Genomic DNA, 13749 nt, shown 5'->3' with positions numbered 1-13749 from the left:
GTCCTTTTTTCATTCTTGGGTCCCTGAAAAGTGGTGGTGCTTATAGGTTAAGATCTGACTGTCCAGGCCTGAGTGCTGGTTCTTCTGATAACTAGCTTTGGCAAGTCTTTCACCTCTCTCTGTGCTTCAGTTTCCTCATTTGTCAAAGGTGGATAATGATGGCACTTACTACCAAAAACTGTTGTGAGGGTTAAATCGGTGAATCCATTTAAGGGGTTAGAATAGGGCCTGCCATGCACTCCCTGCACACTAAATGGTAGCTGCTATTGTCACAGTTACTCCTCATCACCGATCAGTGTTTGGACAGAGGGCCTGGTTCTGGCTTTGTGAAGAATTGTCAGGACAGATTTGGTGCTGTCTCACTACAGCACATGTGAGTGTGAGTCTAAGGAGATTTACTGAAAGCTGTAATTCTAAACCCTGAAGGGCCCTGAGGCCTTAGCAAAGACTGTGGGAAATTTGTAGAGGACACCAGAGAGTCATTGCTTTCACTTACACGATTATTGCTTCACCGGTCTTTTCCCACCCATCAGTGCAAAACAAATCCACAGCATAATAAGAAACATGCATGGAGGTTGGGTCAAGAAGGCAGAGAAGAGCAGAAATCAGCCACAGACCGGTCCTGCTGTTCAGCCTATCCTGTTAATAACCTGCGTTGCCACCCCCTCTTTCCTTCTGGGACTAAATGAGCCACAAGCATGTGAATACACAAGCACACATGATTCTCACAGCCACTTAAAGGAGTGCCTGTTTCTGACCAGGCTGAGCTGTTTCCTTGGGTCAGACAGGGTGATTTTCTTGACTGCAGGCTCTGGACTAAGCATGAGGCACACGTCTTCAGAACAGGGACTGGACCATGATGTTGCCTGGAACGTGGACACCTCCCTGCCCTTCTCTCAGTTTTCACTAGTACATTTAAGCCGGGGAATGAGGCAGAACAGTTGGTTAACCTAGTCATCTACCCACCTAGATATGTATAATTCCCTTCTCAGCCCACATGCCATGTACTACGCTAACCAGCCATTCCCCAGTGGCCATTCCAAATATATTTAAGAACATATTGTTTCTAGATTTATGGTCACTGTAGTAAATCAACTGGAAAGAATCTTATTACCTTAGAAAACACAGCTGGGAATTCACATCTCTTTCCTTAAGCATTTGTCAGGCACTGTCTCTTCTCACCTACGTCTAACTTGCACCCTGATAGTAAATGAAACAAATTAACACTCTGTTAATTTGCCAGAGTGGTCAGGGAGATGATGGGGTGCTTGCGAGAGGCCCTCACTTCCAGAAGGAAAACATGCACTAGCCCACACCCTCAAATCTAATTGAGAGTTCCCCATAGTAAGCCTGACCACCCAGGAGAGCTCCTCTTCCTGGGGCCAAATTCCAGTTTCTAATTCACAAATAAGCAGAGTCTCCTTAATCATTGCACTCAGAGAGCACAGGTCTTGGGTCTGAGCTCCAGTTCTACACCAACTAAACCCTGCACTTAGATAAATCGCCTCTTGGAGGTCATTTCAGTTTTAAATTGTGGGTGGTCATAGTACCCATCTCCTATAATGACATCATGAATGCAAATGCATATTACAGACAGGAAGTGTAAAACAAATATGAAAAGTTCTTGTTGATACTTTTCATTAGAACATATAGATGCAAAAGACTAAGGCGTAGAATGGAACACTCTTATCTATTCATAGCTAGTGCTGAAGATGATGCCAGATAATACATAAACAGGCTAGGAGCACTGGATTGCACTAAACATTGTAGTATCATCAAGTTAAAAAATGAAAGGCAAATCAGAGGAGTAACGCCTTTGTGAACAGGCAAATGTCCCTTTCCACGACACTAAAAGCTCTAACCTTCCCATTTGCCCTTTTTCAGGAGACAATCATTCTAGTTTCATGCCCTTTATCATCTTAGTTGTTCCTACTGAGTGAAAAGTCATCTGGCGAGGTTTGCAACCTAGTACATTTCCTAAGAGGCTTTGTTCATGACAAGGCTGCTTTACTAATCTCAGGAAGCTTCAAGTTTTCTCAAATTTCCAGTTGTAAGTGAAAAATGTACTGGATTGTCTCCCTTTTATATGTTAAAATAATGAGGCATTATTTCAGCACCACCCTTCCCTGTTTCTTTGTTCTAAAAATATAACTCAAGGATTCTGCCAGGTGTTAATTAATCTTCATTAGTCTCTGGAGGGCAGGCAAAGACCTAAGAATTGAGAAATTAAAGCACAAATGTTTAAACAATTAGTATAGAGACTTATCCAAGGTCACCAAATGAGTAACAGAGAAAACGCAGAATCCATGGCTTTCTGATCTTGTCCCCAAAATCCCCCAGGAGAACCATCTTGCATAAATACTTGCATGGCCAACATTTGTAAGAGCAGATGTTTTATCAAGCCAGCTGTACAGCAAGGCCCACCCTTGCCTATCTATTCCTATCTGCTTTTATTATGCTTTGGGGCTCTCGCATGATAAGACCTCCCATATGGTACTTGTATTAACATTAAATAATGGCCATTGTATTGTGTATACTATCACCATAGAAATATTTACTTAGTTGAACACAGACACCGGTCAAGCATGGTGATTAAAAACAAGCTAATCATAAAAACCATTCATGCTCACATCTATTTATAAAATCTGTTTCACTTGTGCCAGTTAAGTATAGGCTTTGTTCTAAACAAACACACGCAAACCTTCTGCACACCCAGAACCATGAAAGGCACCCCTCCTCCCTCTGCAGAAAGCCAGGCTGTGGGGAATGGCCCTATGTGAAGCATCAAGCGTGTGTCTGAGGCTCAACTAGGCTCCTCTGCAGCTGGAGCTGGGCCTGCTGTTGACTTTTACTTTCTTGCTCCTTCATCTCCTCACACTGACACCCTGCCTGGGGTCTCTCAGCCCTCTCATTCTCAAACTACGGTGAGCTCAAAGGCAGCTGGGGTTTTTGTAGTAACTGCAGATACTCCAGATCCACTCATGAGATCTTGTTTGAACTGCTCTGGATGAAATCTAAGATATGATATTCTCAGGAAACACTCAGGTGGTTCTGGTCTTGGGGTCCACATTCTCCACTTGAGAAACGGCCTCTCTAGGGGCATTTCTTGGGACCTCTTGCCTCCTGCCACTCCTTGCCCACAGCAGTCATTGTGGGGTCATCGCTGACACTGCCGAGGGCTGCCTTTAATGCCCTTAAATTTTATTTCAATGGACACCAGTGTTTGTTATAAATGTGTTCCTTAAGTCGTGTGCAGTAAAGTGCATGAGAGCCTGGGCTTTGGAGTCAGAGAATTTGAGCTTTGCTTTGCACTTTGCTGATCATGTGGCCTGGTAAAAACTGTCTAACTCTTTGAGTCCCCATTTTTTTTTTTAACATTTAAAATGGGAATGATAATAGGACTTGCCTCACTGAGGTGATGTAAGGGTGGTGACAATAATACACTTAGAGGATGCAGTGCCTGGCACACCATTTAGGCTACCAACATCACCAGTTGGGAAATAAATTGAGTTGAACTGAGTGGTCCTTTTGGATCAAGGTATTAGAAAATGCCACCTCAGGAAATGTGATGTAAAGAAAAAGACAGAGATGACCTGAATTTGATACCCAGCTCTGCTACCAGAAGGCTGAGTGGCTTTGGCCACATCCTTCTTCCCCTCTGGAAGAAGTTTATAAGATGTTATCTATGAAATTAGGGGACAGGTCCAGAGCAGTGGTTTCCAAACATTATGAACAGGGAAATCCCTTCCAAATATCAATACAGTCATAAAACATACTATAGTTTTTATACTCATGATGGCTCATTGACACTTAATAGCAAAAGGATTTTATGTATTTTGTAATTTTAAAAAATGAATTTACCTTTATTAATTCCAGTCTCATTTACATTTATTTGGGAAATAGTCCTGCTGGTTTTGTATTTTGTATAAGTGGTATTATTTCTAAGACAACAACATTAGGCGAATCGTGAAAGAACTCCACTGCCCCTGGTAGTCACAGACTTTCAGAGTGGGAGCCCCTGGTCCAGACCATTGGTTTTTTATAGATCCCTCCTGTTAACAAAGGCAGTTGTGGAAACTCAAACTCTGAAACAGACACTCTCAGAACTGTTCTGGAAATAGGAGCTGAGGGCCTAATTTAGTTGTCTTCTTTCTCTTCCCTCACTCCTCATCTTCAGCCAGGAAAGATCTGCAAGGCAGTTTTGTTAATTTCCTAGTAACTGAGCACCTCCTGTAGGCAGGCACAGTGCTAGATGCATAGGTTATGTCAGAGAACAAAGCTTCATGCCATCGGGGGCTTCTTTCTAGTGGCCGCGTGCCTCTGAGGTCACTGGCCTGACTTGTCTCCATGTTGGCTCTTACTGTCTGATGCTAGATTCCTGGGCAGACCCAGGATAAATAAGTGAAGCTTGCCTTTGGTCACTGGCTCCTCTTTTGCCTCCTTCTTTTCTGTTTTTTATTGTTTCTTTCTCCACCTAGGTCACATTTTTCCAGGACCAGGAACTGTGTTTGTGATTAGGGACAAACATCTTTCTCCTTCCAGGCTTTGGTTCCCATATTTAGGAAACAAGGGCTGATCCCTAGAGCTACAAGACCCCATCTAACTCTGTAATTGAGTCTAATTAATTCAGCAGAAATAATAGTACCTCATTTAGCCCAACTCTCTTATTCTTCCCCCAGACACTCAAATAGACACTTGGTGGTTTTAGAAACAAGCCAGGCAATGGTAATTAACTTTGAGGCTGTGTTTGACGGGCAAAGTCTAACACTACTATCTCTTTCCAAATGTGAATATTTTAGTCCCTACAACAGACACCCAGGAATATTTTATCTTTAGGCCAAGCAGAGGGGATCTATGGAGAGTGATAGCTATGAAGGCCAAGTATTGGCATCAAGAGCTTCTGAAATACATGGCTGTTAGATGCAAGACAGAAAAAAAGAAATTGCTTCTCAACCCATAGCGCCAATCAAACTGCCCTATAATTCTTTTTCTTGTCTGGTATCCATGTGCAGAACTGTGTACTCAAGAAATATTTGTTGAATGAGTGAGCAGACTCTATTTCTGTTCTTCTTCTTCTTTTTTTTCTTTTTACTTGGTTCTACCCATCATTCATCAGCTGGCTCTGCACTGGGAAGGAAAGCACACTATATTGGGCAGATTAATCTGCAACAACAACAAAAAAAATTGAGAGTGGGCTGAAGTCAACTATGTCTCCTGGCTGAGTAATGTGTGCCAGGTCATTCCCTGCCCTGCTTCCTCTTTGCTCAATGGTCTTACTTACAATCCCCAGGGCTAAACATCTGACAGATCAGCAAAGGCCTCTCTATTGCTGAGGGTCTTCTAAGGGAAAAGAGACTTCAGCAAGGGAGCAGCAAGAGAGACTTCAGAGTGATGGTTGAACCCCTAAAGCACCTTGGTCTGAAAAGCTGGGGGCTCTGGAGGAGCACAAGCCAAACCTATGCCTGACTTCCTCTTGCCAGCAGGAGCAGCATCTGGTCTACCTCCACGTGCCCTCTACCTTGACTTCCACGGGAGCCTCTCTGAAGTGATCCTGCCTAGGAGCGGAATCTGGTATACAAACCCATGGAGCCGGCTCAGTGAATGCAAAACGGTTACATTAAGGATTGGGGTTCTGTTTATTGACAGGGTCATGGCCTCTCCTGGTTATGACCCCCGAGGGACCCTGGCATGGAAACGGGATTTGTAATGTAACACTAACAATAACACACTAGAGACAGCCGTGACAGAGCCCTTCTCTCCTACATGCTGCAGCTGGCTTCCCAGGATGAAGACAGAGCAAGGGGCAGGCGGGGCAGGCACAGGAGGGAGAAAGAGACAAAGGAGTGGGATAGAGTCCATGGGACTGGAGCTTCCCGGGCCAGGAGTCCAGCCCTGGCTTCTGTGGTCCTTGCGGTGAGAGGGCTCAGCCCCTGCCTCCAGAAGCCTTCATGATGCCTGTGTTACTTCCACCTTTCTGGACAGAACTGTGGGCTCTGGAGCAGCCACTCCCTCCTGCTCACCTCCCAACAGACCCCCTCTACAGAGTCCTCCTGTCACCAAGCAAACCTGCTCTCAATCCACCACACCCTCGTCCTTTGTTTGTGAATTATTTATTTTTTCTCTCAGGGGTTGGGGAGGTAATGAGGCCGGATAAGGAGAGGAATAGAAAACTGAAGTCTCAATAACTTTCTCATGGGTTTCTCATTCCACAGGCAGCCTGGACAAAATTGGAACAGTGCATTTTCTTTGGTTTCTGCCCTTGTCTTTTGGGGGAGGTCCTGGGGGCCTGTGAAATATTTTCAACAGGGAAGAAGGGGTCCCAGAAATCACACCGCATGGTAAACCCCTTCTTGCAGCATTCCATCAGTGGCTTCTTTTCTGGTCTACCTGAAATGAGAAATCCTTGTGACCTTACAGGATCGGAAACAGGAGAATTGTCCGATGGGCAATGAATGAGGGTTTAGGAGAGAAGCTGTGGTCTCTGCCATTTTTCCCATCAGATCTGCACATCACTTCTCATCCATCCAAGGGCCCAAAAAACCAAAGAGTGGAGATTCTAGAATTGCCTGGCATCCATTCAGTGGTGATTTCCAGGGGAAGTTCTTAAGAACCTTTTTCTCCGTCTTGCACTCTGGGAGGGTCAATTTCCTTGAAGAGAGGCGTCATGAACGAGAACAGTCAGCAGTCCCTTGGTGGTCTTGAATGAGGCCCCCCCCTTCCAGAAATCCTCCAGCACCTCCATTGCTGACAGGCTTTCTTTTCTGATGCAAACATTGATCCATGCCTGGGGCCCCAGAAGTCCTCCAGGAGCCAGCTCTTCTTTTGCCGCACAGTATTGCCCTTTGAGATTGAAGTCTTGATGGAGAAGCCATCTAACTCCATGTTGTATTTGAAGGATTAAAAAATAAATCAGAACAGGTGGTCCTAAATTCGCTTAGATACATTTAGCATTATATTCACATAGGGAGGCTGTCATGGTTGCCTGACCACTTGTTATTAGTAGCTGGGCATACCCAGGCTTCACCAGCAAAATGAGGGCTCTTCATACATAATCAGTTTGCCATCACCCATTTCCTGCACTAAATTATCAGAATTCAAAATGAATAAGAATTTTCTGTGTCTTCTAGTTACTATGTGGAGACTTGAAGCACAGAATGATAGATTTTATGTCCTTGATTGGCAAAACATGCAGATGAGGAGGTGGCTGACAGCTAAATGTGATTTTTTTCATGATTTCTTCTTCAAAATACACCCCCTCTGTATTATATATAAACTCACACCCACCTTAACATTTAATTCCCACCCTGCTCATGAGAGTTCCTAGATGTGTTTCCCACCTATGTGTACTTGACCTTTATAAAATATTGCCCCGAATCATACCTTGCACTGTTCCATTTTATTGTTCATTAGTGTATGCACATGCCTTATTTTCCTTAAACAAATATGTAGCCCTCGAGGGCTGAGGCTTTAGGAATGTTCTCATCCTACACTGGCATGATTCTCAGTAGGTTCGGACATTTGTGCCTCTTTTCAGCACATGGACAAGCGCGGTGGCCCCATGTCTATGTGCTGGGAAGAGTATCATGATGACCTGGAATTCAGTGTTAGTTCAGAGCTATTATCAGGGATTTTCTGAAAGACAGCCAAAGAAAAGAGGCTGAAATTACTTGCAAGTAATTTAGATATTATTTGCCTAATTTTTGCATGAAACCTACATGACCATGGTGTCATATTTAATCATTTTCTGTTCTCTCTCTGCCTATCTCTCCTTCTCTCTTTTTTCTTTCCCCCGTCTTCCATTTTTGCAAAAGTAGAGACACAAGTTACCGGAAGACTCAATTGTCAGAGTTCAAAGTCTTTGCTAAACATTTGACATTTGACAGCGTGTCCCCCCGCCTTCCTCCGCACTCTCATCTCGCTTGCATGGGCACAAGCCTCAGAGAGATAACCATATCAGGCAGAATAAATGAAGCCTGTTTCCTTCTAAATTTGCTTCCTCCTACACAGTATGGCTATGCACTCTGAGGTTGGCATGCACTTTACCCCAGAGCTCTCTCTGTTGACTTTTAGGTGGGGTAGTAGGCTAGACATAGTTAAAGAAAAAACAAAAAACGAACAACAATAAAACCCCATGTACATTCACCAGACAGAAATCATGGACATTTTGAACCAGAAAAGCCATCACAGAAAGTCTTGTCTAACATTCTTATTTTATAGACAAAGAAACTGAGGCCTGGAGAAGTGCAATGAATTGTCTGAAATCAGAGTTTGCTGTGAATAGAGCAAGCATGAGAACTCAGAATTCTCTTAATACCAAGTTTGCTATTTTTCTCTGCCTTAACACAAAGGCTCAGAAACTACATGTTTCAGCAGTAACACTGCAATTCCAGATAGGGGACTTCTCCAATATCCAGGGAGGCTGGATCAGCAGTAACACTGCAGTTCCAGATAGGGGACTTCTCCAATATCCAGGGAGGCTGGATCAGCAGTAACACTGCAATTCCAGATAGGAGACTTCTCCAGTATCCAGGGAGGCTGGATTCTCCCACACATTTATCAGGAAACACATAAAAGCCTTATCCTCTAGCAACTTGCCTTGGGGGAGGTCTGGAAGAGCTGCTTCCGACCTGACTTGGGGTCTGAGTGAGAGGAAAGCAGCGGGGTATGGCATATTTTGCGCATCAGCTTCTCCCGTTCCCTGAGTGGCATTATCCAGGATTTGCAGGGGGCAGCCCAGCCCTTCTTCTCTTAGAAGCCCCAGCTTGCCGAGGGCCAGTCGGGACTAACTTCTTGCTCATCAGAAGGCAGCACCATGACAGAGAGGAAAGGAAGCTGGAGCTGCTGGAGGCAGGGCTGGGCTCCCGAGCAGGAAGGGCATGCAGTTCCCTGCTTCATGCAGTGTGGGGCTATCCAAAATTATTGTCTAAAATACCCTTTAGAGGAATAGAAATGCCACTGCTGACGTTCTTTACTTTAGGTCTTTAGGGGATTTTAGAATGGAATCTAAAGAAAAATGGAAATGACTCCCCCAGTGGTAATGGTCTCCATGTGATTAGAAGCATGGATAAGGATGAAACTTGGAAAGGGAAAATGATGAGAACCCCCCAAAATCTTCACCTCCTCCATCCTCTTCTTTCTGGCATGTGCTTGTGGATGGACAGACAGATAGCACCCCTCCAACCCACACAAACCTGTGGTGCTGTCTGGAAGACCAGAAGGGGTTGCCTGGGCCTCCTTCATCGGCCACCATCTGGCTTAAGCAAATCTCTCACTCGGAGCCAACACCCTGCCCCTCCCTGTGCCACTTGCGTAGGTGCCCAACAGCTTCAAGATAGGAGCCTCCTTCCTCCCCTGTTGCTCCTCACTTCTGGGGCTCAGCAAGGATGTTCATAGCTCCTAGCCGACCTTCTGCTTCTCCAGGGATGGGTGTGTCTGGCCTGCCACGGTTCCCGTGGACACCGGCAGCCCCCCTTGCAAACTCTGTTCCTGCTCTTCGAGTGCATTCTTGGCCCACACAACCAGCCTCTAAGGTGCCCCCGCTGCAGGAGAGCCTCCCATTCACTGGCTCGCCACTCCGCCTGTGTGCTTCCCAGCCGACCAGGGCGAGTTTTCAGAAAACTATTTTTAGAAAGAGTAACCTCAGAATAAACACCACTCACCAGATGCTGGTGTTTTTCTGGGGCAACCAAGCTGAGGATCATTTGTTTAAAGAGAAAGGTGAAACAGACAACGTTGCTCTTTTGGCCTGGGATGGTTTGCAGACTGCTGGGTTTTACTCCCTCTAGCGGCATGATTTTAGAAGACATGACACTGCCTTGACCCAGACTAATAACCATATTCTATAATGGCCGGGATATTTGAGATAACTCAATTTTACTTGACATTTAGGCTTCTAGTTTGATGCCAAGTAAGGACAGATTTAATCCTAAGTTTACAGGTACAAACATGTGTTAAGACTAATAGGACAAACTCTCTGCATCATTGTCTTATCCCTGCAAGGGTTGATGAATAAAATTCTATTTTGAAAAAGAGATGTTATAGTAAAACTGCTGGATATCTTTGATTATATAAAACTTATTCCCTACAGAAGACCTACATGTAATTTTGTACTATGTATCACTTTCCTAAATAAGTGGATGGGATAAGGAAGAACAAATTAGAAGAGGGACTTGTGAGTCTAATGTTGGCAAGAAAACAGAACAAAACAACATAAAGCCTTCTGATTGTAAGACTTGAGAGACCAGAAACACCTAAGAGGCATCAAAGTGTGTCTCTCTTTGAAAGTTGTAATCATATTTCTAATCATTATATTTCTTAGTGAATTTGGTACAATCACAAAATGACAACAGAACAAAATGCAATGACTTTTTGTAGACCTTCCTTCTCAATTCCAGGATTCTACAATCCAGCCCCATTTCTCTGATTGGAAGAAAACTGTAAATGAAAAGATTGTCACTGGCCTGAAGACGTTAGTCCTCTGATTAGCAGAGCTTATCAGTGTGGAAAATAGTCAATGGACAATGATCTAGTCATATCATAAATGACTGGATTTCTCCTACAACCTGGGTGTTACTGAGCTGCAGACTAAAACCAAAACGACTGTGGGTGACCAGAGGGAAAACGCTTGAAGTCATCAATCAGTTAAATCATGCTCATATCTCAGCTCATTTTGAGTCAGGCTTTGCACATGACAGAACTGCATTCATTCAACAGAAAGCATTCCATTCACAAAGAGTTCAGCTAAACCGACACTTGATTCATTATGAGTTCTTTTGCGGAAGGAGCGGTTGGTTTTCCAGAGTAACAGCCTCGTCTCTGACAGCCCTTTTCTCTGTATTCACGTTCACCATTTTTGTATGTTTCTGCCCACAGCTTATCCAACTTTCAGCAACCACTGATGGGGAGACTAGAATGCTGGTTTCCCTGTGGCACATGAGTAGTACATGATACTTTTTGTCCTCTAAAGTGGATTGTCACCAAGAACATGTCGGTGCTAATTTCCCCGAAGCATTGGTCTGTTTTCCTTTGCTGCAGTAGAAAGGAAGACCTATATACTATGTTACCCTGAGGGCAAAATTATTCCTGGTTTAAAACCACTGACTTAAGGAGAGGTACTGGGAATGAGAGAGATTTTATTCTTTCTTTTTTTCTGTTTATATTTTCAACAATTATAGCACACCTAAACTGTGGCGTAGGCCTTGGGGATCAATAGCGAACAATGATAAATTCCTATCGTCAAGTAACTTGTATTCTGGTATATGTGTACAACAGGGACGGATGGTACACAGCAACAAATACATGAGTATTCCTGATAGTGATAATGTTATGAAGACACTAACACAAGGTAGTGAGCAAGGGAGTAACTATGTCAGCATGAACAAAGTGCAGGGACCATGGAGAGCTCTCAGTGCCAGCTCTTGCATTTAGCTGAATCTCGGATCATAGCAGGCAAGAGATAGCCACTGGTGGTGGTGGCCCCGGTGCTGGTGGCAGTGGATGTTGTGAAAGACAGTAATATGACCAAAGTTATGGTTTTATAAGTTTCTTTTGATAGTGATCTGTTTGCAGGATATTGGAAAAGAGCAAAGCCATGGAAACCAAGAAATTGGTTAAGAGGTTGTGTAATTATCAAGAAAAATGGCAATAAAAGCCTGAGCTGGGTGATGGCAGTGGGAATGGAAAGAAAGGATTAATGAGAGAAACTGCGAATAGAAATTTACAGCAGAGTTCACCTGAGTTTTAGATTTAACTGATTATTTTAAAAAATAACCCTGTGTAATTTTGTCCCATGAGGACATTAAAACAAATGAACACTACCATCAATTCTGCTTTATGAAAATGAGACGGTGTTAACACATGAAAAGGCAGACAAGACATAATCTCGCTACAAAGGGCAGTCCTCTAGGTTAATAAGTTTTTAGTTTTGTGCTTAACCCACTGGACTGTCTTATTTTTGTCATTGCATTACAGACCAGTAACCATTATATACAAGTCTGATATTATTCTAAGATTGGCATTTTACAGCCTGTATGTTCCAGGCTTACCTGAAAACATGATGGATCAGGAGGCTGAAAGAAAAAAAAAAGTGATGTAAATGATGACTCCCAAGTTTTGTACTTACTTGAACAAGAATTTGAGAGAATCATTAACAATGACAAAAAAATAGGAAAAATGAGAGGTAGCTTTGAAATAAGGACTGTAAGTCTGGAGTGAAGCCTGATAAATTTAAGATATCTGAGGAACATTCCTAATAAAATAATGAAGAGTTGTAAGCATAGTATTGAGATTAAGGATGAGAGTCCGAGTGACACATATAGATTTTGGAATTGTTCTAATGAAAGTAATTGAAGCCATCAGGGTGAGCACAATATCAAGGGGAGAAAAAGGAAGGAAAGTGGACTCAAACCAGAACATTAGAGAAAATTATCAGGCAAGACTTAGCCAGAACTCCAAGGTTAGAGGAACCCAAAATAGTCAAGGGCTTTTGTAAAACAAAACAGCCAGGTGTCAATGAATGAATTGATAGTAAGACAATTGAGGCCAGAACCATAAATATCCTCTTTCTGGATAACCGTGAGAGGAAGGTCTGAAGATAGTTCATTTGTTAGTAACAAGAGCTGACAAAGCGTAACGAAGAAGGTCCTTAGATAACATGTGCTTATTATGGATCAAATCAGCACCATGCTATGAATTTCTTGAGCTACTCTTGGATGCTGGGGAGTGGGAAAAGAGAAAACAGGAGGCAGAAGCTAGCACTAGAAGTAAGAAGAACAGCCAAGCACATGAGGATTCCAGCGTTTGAAAGAGAGAAGCACTGACAAGGCCACCTCAGGACCAGAAGTGGGCAGGAAAATGGGAAATCAGGGATTCACTGAGGGACAACAGATCACAATGAAGGGTGAGAAATTGCTGTGGCCTTATTGTGATCAGAAGGCAGGAGGCCTGATATTAAGGTGAATTCCAAAAGCATGAATGCATGTGAGTTTTGCTTACCAACTCTGCGCCTCACTATTATGATCCTAATAGTCAATATGACATGCGAGCTCCTTGTCCTCATGGAGCTGTGATCTATAGCAATGGCAGGAGGCAGAAAGAAACAGACAATATGAAAAAAATAAGTAAAGAAAATATCAGGTGGTGATGATGATATAAACAGAGTGATGTGACTGAAGGTGGCTGGGGTTACCATACACTAATTGGGAAAGGAAGGTCTCAAAGAACAGCTAAGTCAACACCTGAATGACTAGATAGAGGCAACCATGTGATAAGAGATCACAAGAAATGCTCTAGCATTGGGGGATAAAAGGAAAAGAGGCATCAAGGATAACTTCTAAACTTTTGGCTCAAACAACTGCAGGTCCTGTTTACAGAGATGAGAAAGACTACAGAGGAGCAGATTTGAAGTGGGTGAGGGTGAGGATTGGCATTATAGAAAATCAGGAATTCTCTTTTGCCACATGAAGATGTCAAATGCTGGTCCTGGAAATGGTTCTAGGCACAAAGAGAGCATAGATGAAGGCCAAAGGGTTTTAAGGTCAGAGTATTAAGAGTAAAGAACCTTAGCTTGCAATATGAATCATAAATGTCATTCTTGTTCAATGTCTTGAGGTTGTTACAGATGCGGGCAGGATGCCAGTTGAGAAGAAAAATCCAAAACTAAAACAATAAACTTGAATTGAAATTGCAAGGAACAAGGGTTGAATGTCCTGATGACATCCTAAAGGCTAGTGGATAATGGATAATTGGGAA

The 13749-nt window shown here is 43.3% G+C and overlaps 1 long non-coding RNA gene across 2 annotated transcripts, besides 1 other annotated feature; it reads right to left on the bottom strand.

Moving 5' to 3' along the window:
* Nucleotides 1-3834: 3834 nt before the first annotated feature.
* Nucleotides 3835-9695, bottom strand: LOC124902786 (uncharacterized). Of its 2 annotated transcripts, none has more exons than XR_007062945.1 (2): nucleotides 9660-9695; nucleotides 3835-6872 (listed from the first exon to the last, which is right to left on the bottom strand). It is a non-coding gene; the product is annotated as an uncharacterized LOC124902786 (long non-coding RNA). The 2 variants fall into 2 exon arrangements; XR_007062944.1 differs by lacking the exon at nucleotides 9660-9695 and adding an exon at nucleotides 9192-9584.
* Nucleotides 9321-9740: an enhancer, noted in NCBI's record as "active region_5713". NCBI's record gives its function as "activates an Ori minimal core promoter by ATAC-STARR-seq in GM12878 lymphoblastoid cells {active_cell/tissue: GM12878}" and the evidence as "EXISTENCE:reporter gene assay evidence [ECO:0000049][PMID:35858748]".

The sequence above is a fragment of the Homo sapiens genome, chromosome 11, assembly GCF_000001405.40.
Source record: "Homo sapiens chromosome 11, GRCh38.p14 Primary Assembly".
NCBI classification, from domain to species: Eukaryota; Metazoa; Chordata; class Mammalia; order Primates; family Hominidae; genus Homo; species Homo sapiens.
The sequence above is the reverse complement of the archived record's forward strand: the minus strand, read 5'-3'. Positions and strand labels throughout refer to the sequence as shown.